Genomic DNA, 14,296 nt, shown 5'->3' on the forward strand with positions numbered 1-14,296 from the left:
TGTCTCTGCCTCCCTAAGTGCTGGGAGTGCAGGTGTGAGCCACTGCACCTGGCATATTTGCCCTTTTAAAACATTTGATGGTTTTCAGTGTATTTTCCAGGCTCTTTAATCATCATAACAATCTATTTGCAGAACATGATCACCACCTCAAAAAGAAACCCTGAACCCATTCCCGCTTCCCTGATTCTGCCCTGTGATTTTCCCATCCCTTCAGCCCCTGGCACCACTAATCTTTCTGTCTCTATGTATTTGCCTGTTCTGGACATTTCATGTAATTGGAATAATGCAGTATCCATTTCTGTCTGGCTTCTTTCACTGAGTGTCATGTTTTTTGTTTTTTGGGGTTTTTTTTTTGCAGAGACAGAGTCTTGCTCTGTTGCCCAGGCTGGAGTACAGTGGCGCGATCTCGGCTCACTGCTACTTCGCTTCCCAGGTTCAAGCAGTTCTCCTGCCTTAGCCTCCTGAGTACCTGGGATTACAGGCGTGTGACACCATGCCCAGCTAATTCCTTTTGTATTTTATTAGAGACGGGGTTTCATTGTGTTGCCCAGGTTGGTCTCGAACTCCTGAGCTCAGGCAATCCGCCCGCCTCAGCCTCCCAAAGTGCTGGGATTACAGGTGTGAGCCATCACGCCCGGCCTGAGTGTCATGTTTTTAAGGTTCACCCATGTTGTGCATGAATCAGTACTTCATTCCTTTTTGGGTTGGATAATATTCTGTTGTACAGATAGACCACATTTTGCTTATCCAGGCATCACCTGATGGACCTTTGGGTTGTTTCCACGTTTTAGCTATTATGAATAATGCTATAAACATTCATATATAAGTTTTTGTGTAAAGATATTTTTCAGTTCTCTTGGATATCTACATACTTAAGAGTGGAGTTACTAAGTCATGTGGTAACTATGTTTAGCTTTTTTAGGAATAAGGCAGAGATACCTAGTGTGTGTGTGTGTGTGTGTGTGTGTGTGTGTGTGTGTCATGGGCCCTTTGACATCTTTTTCTCTCAGTTGTGTTTTTAAGTTTATAAAATGTAGGATGACAAAGGAAACTAATTGTCTTAAAATGTAGTTTTTGAAATACGAAGATAAATTTGTGATATAGTGTGGCAAAATCCATTGGCAGATCTAACTACCATAATTCCAAAGTAACAAAGGGCATAAGTGCTATTTTGAGACGTTTGTAAGAACTGTGGGCTGGGTGTGGTGGCTCATGCCTGTAATCCCTGTGCTTTGAGAGGCTAAGGTGGGAGGATCACTTGAGGCCAGGAATTTGAGACCAGCTTGGGCAGCATACTGAAGCCCCATCTCTACAAAAAATTTAAAAACTTAGCCGGGCATGGTGGTGTGCACCTGTAGTCCCAGCTACTTGGGAGACTGAGGTGAGAGGATCCCTTGAGCCCAGGATTTTGAGGCTGCAGTGAGCTGTGATTGTGCCACTGCATTCCAGCCTGAGCAACATGGGGAGACCCTGCCTCAACAAAATAAACCAACAAAACTGCAATGTGATAATATACCTGTGGTTTCTGTTGGTGACAAATTTGTAAGCATGAAAACTATAGTTTGCCTATATTCCTAATTGAAGAAAATGCTGAATTTCTGTTAGAGATTAGTGAAAATAAAGAGGTAATTCTGCCCCCTTCCCCCCAAATTAGTGGAGCTCCTGAATTCTATCCTGCTTCAAAGAGCATGACCCAGAAGTTGCACACATTTCCTTCACTCCTTCCCTGTGATCCTGATTAGTTACATGGCGACAGCTAGCTGCAAGGGAGGCTGGGAAATGTAGTCCTCATTCAAGTCAATCAGGTGCCTGGCTAAAATATAGGGGTTCCGTTATTAAAGGAAAGGGGGGAGGATAGGTATTGGGGGACAAGAAGTCAATACTGTACTGCAGTACACACTGTGCAGCCACTTTCTCACCCAGGTCAGAACACGTGTTCTTCTCATAAGCACCTGCCAGAGGAGTTAGTTTGGCTTTGGGGACCATGGTGTATGAAAAAAAAGCGCATCTTTTTTTTTTTTTTTTTTTGAGATAGAGTATTGCTCTGTCACCCAGGCTGGAGTGCAGTGGCGCAATCTTGGCTCACTGCAACCTCCGCTTCCTGGGTTCAGGTGATTCTCCTGCCTCAGTCTCCCAAGTAGCTTGGGTTACAGGCATCTGCCACCATGCCCAGCTGATTTTTTATATTAGTAGAGACGGGGTTTCACCATATTGGCCAGGCTGGTCTCGAACTCCCGACCTCAGGTGATCCACCCACCTCGGTCTCCCAAAGTGCTGGGATTACAGGTGTGAGCCACTGTGCCTGGCCAAAAAAAAAAAAAAAAAAAAGCGGGAGGGGGGCGCATCTTGAAGCACTAAAACGCCTCTCAGCACTCTGAGAGTGCTGCTCGCATGACGAAGAACTGAGGCTGCCTGAGGGAGTAGCGTATGCCTGTCCCCCATCCCACACTCACACCAGAGCAAATGCTTAGGAAGTGGAATGCTGGGTATCTGTTCTGCTTAAATTATTTGTCCTTTAGTGAGGGGTAAGGGGATCCTAGTTGAAGTTATGAGAGGTAAACATTTGATACAACCTCTCTGTGCCTTTTTACTGTGCAGTAAGATGTGTGGTTTGGCTTCTCAGATGACTGGATGGTGATGCTATATTGGAACTCTTGATTCTATGTGTCAGACTCCACCCTCGATCACCCAAGGCAGAAGAGGGATTGATGTGTTGGCCTGGAGTCCCAGGAAGATCAGCAACAGAGAGTGGGCAGCTCAGGCCTCCGGCAGCAAATTAACAGGACATGGGCAGCCCAGAGGCAAAGTGACTTCCCCATTGTCCTGGTTGTAAAGGCTGAAGGGTCATGATGCTGATCTAACATTGGTAACAGCTGGACTTTATTGAGCACTTCCTGGGTGCCTGGCAGTATTTGTTTTCATCAACCTTATGAGATGGGTCCTGCCATACCCCACTTTCCTGATGTGTAGGGACTCATCGACCTCCTCAAGATCATATAGTTACTTATTTGTGGCTGGGCATGATGGCTTGCACCTGTAATCCCAACACTTTGGGAGGCCGAGGCAGGAGGATTGCTTGAGCCAGGAGTTCAAGGTCAGCCTAGGCAACATGGTGAGATCCCATCTCTACAAAAAAATTAGCCAGGTACAGTGGTACGTGCCTATAGTCCCAGCTACTCAGGAGGCTGAGGTGGGAGGATCACTTGAGCCTGGGAGGTTGAGGCTGCAACAGCAAGTCATGATTGTGCCACTACACTCCAGCCTGAACAAGAGTGAGACCGTGTCTCAAAAAAAAAAAAAAAAGTATTGATTCATGGCAGAGGTGGGGTTTGAACAGAGAGTCTGGTTCTAGCCGGTACTGTCATGAGGGCAGAGGGTGAGATGCAGGAGCAGAAGGCTTGACAGCCTGGACAGAGGAGTTTGTGTTTTCCTTCATGCTTTCATTTCGTGAATCTTTGTTACTGATGATGACTTTTGAGTTGACGTGATTGTGCCATCCCAGCCTCCCCTCCCTCTGTTCTAACACCCAGTGGTACATCCCCTTCCCCAACAGCACCATCAGACACACAGGTGGCTCTTGTGGAATCTCTCCATTCCCCATTATTCTAGGCCAGCCCTTCTCCCTTATCCTAGTTTTAAACATGAATTTATAAAGGGTAGTTAATTTGTGGCCAGGTGTGGTGGCTCACGCCTTTAATCCCAGCACTTTGGGAGGCTGAGGCGGGCAGATCACGAGGTCAGGAGATCAAGACCATCCTGGCTAACATGGTGAAACCCCACCTCTACAAAAAATGCAAAAAAAAGTAGTTAATTTGTTACTCAGCAAATCTCTACGGTGCCTACCAGACTCCAGATCTGGGCTGCTGGACACAGGAACATCGTTAAGCAAATCCCGGCCGTCGTGGAACTGACAGCCTGGAGGGGACGCAAGAGACTTGGGCATTCAACAGATAACTTCAGAGTCCCAACTGCAGCTGTGATACATACCAAACAGGAAACAGAGAGAGAGCGAGGAGAGCATATTAATGTGCGGAACCCAGGGCCTGACCCGGGGACCAGGAAGGAGGATGGCAAGGAGGGCTTCCCGAGGAGGCACCGTGTAGGCCGAGCCTAGAGCTGAATGGTGGCAGAGAGGGAACAGAGCACTTCCAGGGGGAACTGGAAAGCCCTAGACACATCACCCCAGTCCTCACTCCCACTGAACTCTGAGGAGACGGCTGCAAGTCGAGGCTCCCCACCCACCAGCACGTCACAGTGTGTCCAGGCTCAGGGTCCCCATCTGTAAGATGGGAGTGATATTGGTCATGGTGCCCATTTCATTGGTGGATGTCACTGGTGGATTAAATGAGTTACTATATGTAAAACTTTAGAACAGCTCCTGGCCTGTGGCAAGGGCTCTATAGGTTTAATTAGTCATTAAAATTAAAATTTGTATGTTGTAGGTCTAAAGATGGCTAATAAAAAATCACCCCACCCAGGCCAGAATCCAAGTTAGAGGACTGCTTGACAGGGACTGCCAGACACAGACTTGGTTGTGGGAGTCAGGGGTGCAGCCTCTGGCTACCACCCCCAGGAGGCATTCAGAAATGGGGGGTTGGCCGGGCGCAGTGGCTCACGCCTGTAATCCCAGCACTTTGGGTGGCCGAGGCGGGTAGATCACTTGAGGTCAGGAGTTCAAGACCAGCCTGGCCAACATGGTGAAACCCCATCTCTACTAAAAATAGAAAAATTAGTCATGCGTGGTGGCGGGCGCCAGTAATCTCAGCTACTTGGGAGGCTGAGGCACGAGAATCACTCGAACCCAGGAGGTGGAAATTGCAGTGAGCTGAGATTGCACCAGTGCACTCCTGCCTGGGTGACAGAGCAAGGCTCTGTCTTAAAAAAAAAAAAAAGAAAGAAAAGAAATGGGGAGTTGGTCTCACAATGAGTGGTGGGGGCCAGGGATGCTGACTGACCTATGCACAGGAGTGTTCCACCAAACATGCCCACGGCGCCCCAGGGGAGGGTTGTCCTGGAGGGGATTTCCTTGGGTCTTCGTCTTGTTGTACGTCTCTTATTGGGTTTCTCTCCCTGGGGTGGAAAGATGGCTGCTCTTGGAGATGCAGGCTGCCCCTGAATGCCCTGATCACTGACTCCAACTTGTAAAATATTTGTAAGATGCCCCCGCACTGCAGCACTGGGAAGCAGTGCCGGCCAGTCTGGCAGAAAGTGTGAAACCCAGTAAGTGATCTGCTTTATCAATCCAGGTTCTTGGGTTGCAAGCAACAGAAATCAACTCAGGCACCCTGAGGCCCTAAAAGGGTCGAGCAGCTCTGGGGTGTCTCTCAGTGGATATTCTTGGGCACTTTTTTAGGGCCCTGCATTGAAGAGCTTAGACACTGCAGCCCGCCTCCTGGGTGAGAATCCCAACCTCACTCCTTATTCATAAGCATCTCAAGCTTTCTGTGCATCAGTTTGTCGGCTATAAGATGGGAATGAGAACCGGAGGGTTGCTTTGAGGATTCAGTAAGTTGATATTTGAGACGTGTTTAGAACAGTGTGTAGTGTAGAGTATGTGGCTAGATATATACTAGCTGCTATTATTTTTATTAAGTGCTGTGGTTATTACTATTAGTATTATTTTTTTGAGATGGGGTCTCACTCTGTCACCTAGGCTAGAGTTCAGTGGCACAAACACAGCTCACTGCAGCCTCAACCTCTTGGGTTCAGGTGATCCTCCCATCTCAGCCGCCTGAGTAGCTGGGACTATAGGCATGTGCCACCATCCCCGGCTAATTTTTTGTATGTTTTTATAGAGACAGGGTCTTGCCATGTTACCCAGGCTGGTCTTGAACTCCTGGGCTCAAGCAGTCCACCCACCTGAGCCTTCCAAAATGCTGGGAGTACAGGCATGAGCCACCTCACCCACCTAGCCTACCATTATTATTTTTATTTTATTAAAAAAAATTTTTTTTATGAGATGGAGGCTTGCTCTGTCGCCCAGGCTGGAGTGCAGTGGTGTGGTCTTGGCACACTGCAACCTCCACCTCCTGGGTTCAGGCGATTCTTCTGCCTCAGCCTCCCAAGTAGCTGGGACTACAGGCACGCACCACCATGCCCGGCTAATTTTTGTGGTTTTAGCAGAGACAGGGTTTTGCCATGTTAGCCAGGCTGGTCTTGAACTCCTGACCTCAGGTGATCCTGAGGTCCTGCCTTGGCCTCCCAAAGTGCTGGGATTACAGGCATGGGCCACTTCACCCGGCCTCATTATTATTTTTATTGGCAGCTTGAAATTGAAATCCCTGAGCAAGAGGAAGCCATTGGCCCAGTTTGGATCAGGTGGGTGGGCAGGTCCCATGATTGGCAGTCCCCTCCACGCCCCCCCCCACAGAAGTAGGAGGAACGAGGGAGAAACAGTTGTCCCCAGGAAAAGTGGGCTGCTGTCACCAGAAGTTGGGGCAGAGACTCCAGGCTCCAGGCAGGTCCAGAGCGCCCGTGTCCTCCATGCTCAGTAACTGGACTCAACAAATGTTGGTTACTTCCCTGCTTTGTGCCATGGCCTCTGCTGAGCACAGAAGACACAGAAGGGACAGTGATTTGCACGGTCTCCTCCTCACAGGTCCTGTAGTCCAGAAATTGAGGGTCCTGGTTAAAACTAAATGCCTAGAACAGTGCCTGGCCTTTAGGAGGTCCTTCGTAAATGTTTCCTCAATGAATAAACACACAGGGAAGTGCAAGAGTTTTATGGAACACACAACAAAAGCATCCCACTAGTTATTTTAAAGAAATCCATGTTTGTACCTTTAGTCTCCAGGATGAGGTTCAGAGGGGTGTCCATGCACACAGTAGGTGTTTAATAAATGGGGACTAAATTATCTAATAGGTGCATGGTCCTGCAGCCTGTCCGGTGTGACAGTTGAGGGCAGACCCAGAGTTGGGGAGCTGGCTGCCTTCTCTGTTGAACAGGATGTGCAGACGTGGCTCCAGGATGCATCTCTGTGGAATGCAGTCGCTAATACAAATGAGCTTCCTCACGTCACAAGGCATCTATTATGTGGACAGTTGGGCGATGGGCCGTGGGACTGGGCGGGCTCTCTAGGGGAGTTTCAGAGCCACAGTTATGTTTAGGGCCTTCCTTTGGAGAGGGACTTTTCCCCATGAATGACTCTTAATAACAAAGATAATAATAGCCACCACTTTCCAGGTGCCTGAGCTGTGCAAAGGGATTAACCCATGGACTCCTCACAATGGCCCATGAAGCCAGTATATGATCCCCATTGTGCTGAGGCTCAGAGAGGGAAAATAACTTGCCTGTTGTGTGCACAGCAAGTGAGAAATTGAGGTGGGATTCTGGCCATGGTCTCTTGCTCCAAAGCTTGGGTTTGTCCTTCTATACCATGCACAGCCTGTTTTCTCTCTCTAGTACTAAGTTTAAAACAATATTATTTTTATTAATTTGCATATAGTACAATATTTAAAAATAAAAAGGCCAGGCACGGTGGCTCACACCTATAATCCCAACACTTTGGGAGGCTGAGGCGGGAGGATCACTGGAGTCCAGGAGTTCCAGACTAGCCTGGACAACATAGTGAGACCCTGTCTCTACAAAAAATTTAAAAATTAGCTGGGTACGGTGGCTCAGGGCTACAGTCCCAGTCACTCGGGAGGCTGAGGTGGGAGGATCTGCTTGAGTCCAGGAGGTTGAGGCTGCAGTGAGCTGTGATCGCACCACTGCACTCCAGCCTGGGTGACAGAGACCCCGTCTCAAAAACAAAACCAGAAAAAAAGGCAGTTTCCCTTCCACACCCAAACCCTTCACAGAAGCAGCCACTGTGACCTGTTTCTCACATCTCCTTTCAGAAGTCATGAGTACAAGCAAATCTATAAACATGGCAGCTGGGCTCAACATTAAGGGTGGCCACCTGTAGCCTGCGGGCGAGATCCAACTCACTGCCTGTTTTTGTATGGCCAGGGAGCTAAAAATGGGTTTTACGTTTTTAAAAGGTTAAAAAAAAGTTAACACTATTTCATGCCACGTAAACCTATATGAAATTTAGGTTTCGCCAGGCACAGTGGCTCACGCCTGTAATCCCAGCACTTTGGGAGGCCGAGGCAGGTGGATTTCCTGAGGTCAGGAGTTTGAGACCAGCCTGGCCAACATGGTGAAACCCTATCTCTACTAAAAAAAAAAAAATACAAAAATTAGCTGGGCGTGATGGCACACACCTGTAATCCCAGCTACTCAGGAGGCTGAGGCAGGAGAATTGCTTGAGCCCGGGAGGCGGAGGTTGCAGTGAGCCGAGATCGTGCCACTGCACTCCAGCCTGGGCAACAGAGCGAGACTCTGTCTCAAAAAAAAAAAAAAAAATTTAGGTTTCACTGTCTATAAATATTTATTGGAACACGGCCCGCCCATTTGGTTGTGTATTGTCTGTGGCTGTTCTTACACTGTAATGGCAGAATTGAGTGGTTGCAACAGAGACAAGTGTGACCCACCCCCCAAACCTACAATATTTGCTCTTTGGCCCTTTACAGAAGAAGTTTGCTGATCCCTGCACTACACACTTTCCTTTAGTAATGCGTGTTAGAGACAGTTGGCTCTCAGCACTTTTCTTGCGTGCTAACTGTGCTCCCCAAAAGCAGAGCCCAGCTGCAAGCCGTGGGCATGCCCAGGTTCGGCTGGCGGTGGGTCTGTTGGTGCCTCCGCGTGCACACTCACTCTGAGCATTTCTTGGGCCCTGGCTGCGTGGCAGGCCGCTGGCTGGGAGCCAGGGCAGGTCTAGGCCTGCCCTCAGGAATCCACAGGCCGGTGGGTGGGGAGAGTCAGACAGTATCGGGCAGTCCTGTGGAGGGATGTATTCAGGCCTGCTCTCACAGGCCTTCCTTGACCCTCTCCCCATCACTCCCACTTTGTTTTTATTTGTGGCACTTAAATAAAAAATAGGTCATGCATTTATATGCTTCAAAATCAATTCTATGTGGATGTGTGAGCAGTCTCTGTCCTCCACTCCTCTCCCTGCCCACCTTGTTCCTTCTCCCCTTACGTAATGATTTGTATTTTCCCTTGGGTATCCGTCTAAGGTATCATTATATCAATACAAGCAAATATGAATATATATTTTTGTCTTCTCCTTCCTTCGACAAAAGGTAGCCTACTCAGTACTCTGCTCTGCACTTTGCAAATGTTTACTGAACAGTATGCCCTGGAGATCCTCTTATTTTAGTGTTCTGGTGGAAACTGAAGGGTGGGTAGGAGTTAATAAGGCAAAAAAGAAAGGTGTATCTTAGGGTGGGGGAAGCATGAGGAAGAGCATTCTAGGCAGAGGGAACAGTGTGAACAGCATGCTTCCAGGTTCCGGGGAGCGTGGCTCCCTCCAGAGCAGGGGGAAGGCCTGGGAGGCTGAGGCCAGGGAGGAGGGGGCCCGTCGAGGCATGAAGGTTCAGCAAGGCCTGATGGTCAATGGAGGAACCGTGCCTTTAATTCTGAGCTCACCCGGGTGTGGGGTTCTGCTCTGTTTCCTTCCATGCCCTGATTTCTCTGTGGCCAAGTACACTTGGCCGTCATTCCATATGACCAAGGAGAGGCCAAGAATGTCCTCGAGAGAGGGTTATTGGGGCTGGTTAATGATGGAAGAATTTCTCCTGTGAGCTGCGCTCAAGAAGTGTGACCTGGTGTCTGGGAGGTTTCAGGCCTGTTCCTCCTGCCTCCTCAGTTCTTTCTAGTCATGAGACACGGGACACATCCCATCAGTTCTCATCTTTTCAGTAGACACAGTCGTAGTGCCAAATACAGGCTTTGTTTGGAGGGTAATGCATACACCGTGCTCAGTTCCAAGTTGGCCACATAGTGAGTGCTCAAGATGTGATAGAGATGGCTTTGGTTCTTTTTATAGGGCTGGTTTGGGCTCATACTTTGTTAGTATAGCTCATGATTAAAGGTTTGGGGATTCTGTGAAGTGCCTTATGCCTGTAATCCCAGCATTTTGGGAGGCTGAAGCGGAAGGATTGCTTGAGACCAGGAGTTCAAGACCAGCCTGGAGAATACAGCAAGACTCCCACCTCTACAAAAAATGAGCCAGGTGGTGGCACGTGACTGTAGTCTCAGCTACTCAGGAGGCTGAAGTGGGAGGATCACTTGAACCCAGGAGGTCAAGGCTGCAGTGACCTATGCTTGTGCCACTGTACTCCAGTCTGGCGACAGAGGGAGACCCTGTCTCAAAAAAAAAAAAAAAAAAGAGTTTTGGTTTGATCACCTGAGTTCTAATACCTGCTCTGCCACTTCTTGTCCGTGTTGAGCAGGTTACTTAACCTCTCTGTACTTGATTTTTGTCACTTGCAAATGAAAGTGATAATACTTGCCTCTTGGTCCCATAGATGCCGGCAATTATTATTATTCCTATTATTTCACAGCCTCTGCTGTACAGTATTGTCAGATGACGCAGTGCCAGTGGTAGCAGCGTCGCCATCATTTCAGCAGCAGTGCCCTTCGTTAGCTGTACCACCTCACCTTTTCTGCAGGACACCTTCCCGCAAATCCTTTCCTGTCAAAGGGTTAGGGTAGAGTTGCTCCGTGAGTATTTAGGAAAGGAGGCCCTGGAAGAGAGGATTGTCTCTTTAGTCCCTTTATGAGTCATTGGCCATAGAAAGTTACATGACCACCCATAACTGCAGGGAAGGGTGAGAGATGGAGAATTTTCCTAATCGCCTCCCACACAGAATATAAATATCACCACCACAGCTGTGTGCAGTACGTATTTGTGAGCACGTTAATCTATCTTGCCATCAGAGAGGCTGGCTCCAGCATCTTACGCATGTCCACGTTGTGGTCAGTTTGCAAGAAGTCACCCGTGATATGTGGCAAAACAGCCGGACTCCCAACATAAAGTGCTGGAAGGAAGACTGTGAGGGACACAGTTGTAAAGGTTCTCGAATTGTATCTGTCTGATCAGAGAAACAATTTAATGTCCCAGATCAAAGTCGAGAGGCAGGCTCTGGGAACTGGGCTGTGAGCAGCCAGAGAAAGGCGGCAGAACCAGTTTCTTCAGGGCAGGTCTCTTTTATCTGCTTGTCTGATTGCCTGGTGGACACTCCATTGGCTCCCAGAGGCCTTCCTGGTCATCTCCTCCCTCTGGCTGGGTCCTTGATCTTTGCAGATGGCTGCGTCCCCTGGGGCCAGGGAGCACCTACTGTGTGCCTAGTGCTGGCCAAGGTACTGGAGATAATCATAGGTAATGTTCTTCCAGCGTTCACCATGTGCTTGGTGTTGCGGTTACTTGAGTGAACTCATGTAATCCTCGCAGTAGCCCTATGAGGTGGGACAGTGTTAGGTCCATTACAGACATGGAGACAAGCCCAGGGCTGCTATGTCACTTCCCCAAGGTCACAAAGCTAGTTAGGGGCAGCCTCTACCGTCTGGATCAAAGCCCGCCATGTAAATGGCTCCAGCTTTTGCAGGCCACATGCACGTCTTCAGAGCTTTCTCCATAATGGACTCTTTTGGAAGACCCTGGCCTCCAAGGGCTGTATAGTGGCTTATGGCTCTCCCAGTTAATGGTGCTTATGAATGTGGCTGTGGAGGGAGAGAGGCTGGGGCTGGACAACCTGGGCTTTCCCGGTGTGACCTGTGGCAGCCAGAAAGAGGGACGGGGTCAAGCAGGGGCATCTTTGTCCACCCTTAGCTCCTCCTGGCTATTCAGGACCCACCTTACAGGTTCCTGTGGCCTCCCTGGGTTGTCTTCCTGGGGTCGAGGGTTCTCTGGCAGGCATACCATGGTGCCCTTGCCCCTCTACCCCGACATCCCAGCCAGGCCATGTTGAAATTGCCTTTTCATTTGTTAGTTGATCTATGCAAAATGTTGGGAGGGCAGGGGCCTTGCATCTACTTCCCTTGGCCCAATCCTGGCTGTGCAGTAGGTTTTAAAAACACGTCTGAACAAATGAATAAATAAATGACTCATGTGATGGAACTAACATCTAAACAGAACTTAACTTGCAGTATCTTCTGGGCAAATGCCACATCTGGGCTAGAGAGGCAGTGGAGGGTGGTGGTTGAAAGCCGACCCTGGAGCCACGTGCTGGGAGTTGAAATCCAGTTCTGTCGCTTACTTGCTGGGTGACCTCGGACAAGGGACTGCACCTCTCAGGACCTCAGTTTTCTCATCTGTTAAGTGGGATAATAGTAGGACCTGCCCCACGGAGCAGTTGTGAAGGTTACGTGAGTTGAAATGTTAAAGCATCTGGCACAGGCACTGGCTTAAGAGTTAGCAGCTGCTCCTAGGCACCGTGCAGTAGCGTTGACCATGAAGAGTAACCGAGTCTTAGCCTCAGGTATGCGGAGAGACCAGCTCAGTTCCAGGGGAGATGTTGTTCACCTTGTGAACCTAAGAAACAGTGGTTTCATCCAAAAAAGATTGCTCAGACCTGGCATGGTGGCTCACACCTGTAATCCCAGCACTCTTGGGAGGCTGAAGTGGGTGGATTGCCTGAGCTTAGGAGTTCGAGACCATCCTGGGCAACATGGTGAAACCCCGTCTGTACAAAAAACACAAAAATTAGCTGGGCGTGGTGGCATGCATCTGAGGTCTCAGCTACTCAGGAGGCTGAGGTGGGAGGATAACTTGAGCCTGGGAAGCAGAGGTTGCAGTGAGCCAAGATCATACCACTGCCCTCCAGCCTGGGTGACTGAGCGAGACCCCATCTCAAAAAAAAAAAAAAAAAAAAAGATTGCTCAGCACTGATGAGGAATTGTAACTGTAACCCTGATCAGTAAGCTTGCTTCATACAGGCATGATTCGAGTGGAGATTTTTGGAGTTGCACGAAACTATGTGTTCTTTGTGGGAGAAGTTGGGAGAAAGACCCAGCCCGGCTGAATCTCCTGAGAACAATGAGGCACTTTTTGCAGATGCGCTGTCCTTCCAGTCTCAGGGAGCGCTGTGTGAGCCCTGCGCAGGGCGGGGCAGCGAGGCGGTTAAGGGCTGGATTCCATCCTTACTAATGTGTGACCTTGGGCAAGTAACACCAAGCACAGTCAAAGAGAAAATTAGTAAATGAAATTCACTCTGAGTATAGAATAGAGATAAAATACATAGAAGTAACAAAACGGGTGGAGTGAGAAGAAGCATACATCTAGTAGGATTTCCAGAAATAAAGCTAGAAGGAGTGGTGGGGAGGCAATATTAGAACTAATGCTAAAAATGTGCCATAATTGAAGACTTGCATCTCAATGCTGAAAGCTCACAACGAGTGCCAAGCAGAGACTGGATAAAAAGAAATCCCCCAGATAGATTATTGTGAGGCTGCGAAACATTAAGGAAAGAGAGAAAACCTTGGAAACTAGCAGACTAGGCTAGGGCAAGTAACAAACCATCTCTAAGCCTCGGTATTCATTTCTGCAAAGTGAGGAAAAGAACTAGTTACTATGTGACCAGCTTACTAATGAGCTTGGAACTAGTAAAGATCTTTTTGCATAGGTCCTGACACATAGCAAGTGTGCATTAAATGTTAGCTGCGTTACTGTTGGTGTCATAAACGTTAATGACAACAGTAGTGATTGTTCTGTAGGCTGCTGTGGAATATGGCTGGTACTCCACAGATGCCTCTCATGCAGGCAACTCTGTAGCAAACTAGAGCATGTCCTTGTGGTGATCCCTGAAGAAGAGAATAGTCATTTCATGAACGTGACTGGAAGTCAAGATTTGTGGATTCCTTCAACAAATATTTCTGGGGCCTCTTGTCTGTGCTAAACACTGTTTCAAGGCCCAGGTATGCAGCAGAGAAGACAGACCTAGTCCTTGCTGTCCTGGAGTACAAGGTCTGGTGGAGGAGACAGACTAGAAATAAACAGTATTTATCAGAAGTGATTGGTAGTGCTATTAAGACGTTCAATTATTGTAGCATTTTGGGAGGCCAAGGCAGGAGGATCAGTTGAGGCCAGTTTGAGACCAGCCTGGGCGACAGAGCAAGATTCTATCTCTTAAAAAAATTGTTTTTTTCTTTTTTTTTTTTTTTGAGTGTGGGTCTCTCTCTGGTTGCCCAGGCTGGAGTGCAGTGGTGCAATCTTGGCTCACTGCAGCCTCAACCTCTCTAGCTCAAGCAATCCTCCCACCTCAGCCTCCTGATTGAGACTAGAGTCATGTGCCACCATGCCCAGCCAATTTTACGAAGAAAATTGTTTTAGTCAAGTGTGATGGCACATGCCTCTAGTTCCAGCTACCGGGGAGGCTGAGACAGGAGGATCACTTGAAGCCAGGAGTTCAAAACCAGCCTAGACAATAGAGAGAGAGAAAGAAAAGAAAGGAAAGGAAGGAAAGAAACTAA

The 14,296-nt window shown here is 48.5% G+C and overlaps 1 protein-coding gene across 7 annotated transcripts in view, besides 5 other annotated features; it reads left to right on the forward strand.

The window, feature by feature from the left end:
• SIPA1L3 (signal induced proliferation associated 1 like 3) overlaps nt 1–14,296 on the forward strand; it is a 301,162-nt gene that overhangs the window by 64,019 nt on the left and 222,847 nt on the right. The window lies entirely within an intron of this gene.
• Nucleotides 2,809–2,868: a silencer, noted in NCBI's record as "silent region_10562". NCBI's record gives its function as "represses an Ori minimal core promoter by ATAC-STARR-seq in GM12878 lymphoblastoid cells {active_cell/tissue: GM12878}" and the evidence as "EXISTENCE:reporter gene assay evidence [ECO:0000049][PMID:35858748]".
• Nucleotides 6,980–7,089: an enhancer, noted in NCBI's record as "active region_14561". NCBI's record gives its function as "activates an Ori minimal core promoter by ATAC-STARR-seq in GM12878 lymphoblastoid cells {active_cell/tissue: GM12878}" and the evidence as "EXISTENCE:reporter gene assay evidence [ECO:0000049][PMID:35858748]".
• Nucleotides 7,130–7,239: an enhancer, noted in NCBI's record as "active region_14562". NCBI's record gives its function as "activates an Ori minimal core promoter by ATAC-STARR-seq in GM12878 lymphoblastoid cells {active_cell/tissue: GM12878}" and the evidence as "EXISTENCE:reporter gene assay evidence [ECO:0000049][PMID:35858748]".
• Nucleotides 8,604–8,983: an enhancer, noted in NCBI's record as "active region_14563". NCBI's record gives its function as "activates an Ori minimal core promoter by ATAC-STARR-seq in GM12878 lymphoblastoid cells {active_cell/tissue: GM12878}" and the evidence as "EXISTENCE:reporter gene assay evidence [ECO:0000049][PMID:35858748]".
• Nucleotides 10,633–11,134: an enhancer, noted in NCBI's record as "H3K27ac hESC enhancer chr19:38472499-38473000 (GRCh37/hg19 assembly coordinates)". NCBI's record gives its function as "activates a minimal SCP1, AML or CMV promoter by ChIP-STARR-seq in primed H9 embryonic stem cells {active_cell/tissue: H9 hESC(primed)}" and the evidence as "EXISTENCE:reporter gene assay evidence [ECO:0000049][PMID:30033119]".

This window comes from Homo sapiens, chromosome 19, assembly GCF_000001405.40.
Source record: "Homo sapiens chromosome 19, GRCh38.p14 Primary Assembly".
NCBI classification, from domain to species: Eukaryota; Metazoa; Chordata; class Mammalia; order Primates; family Hominidae; genus Homo; species Homo sapiens.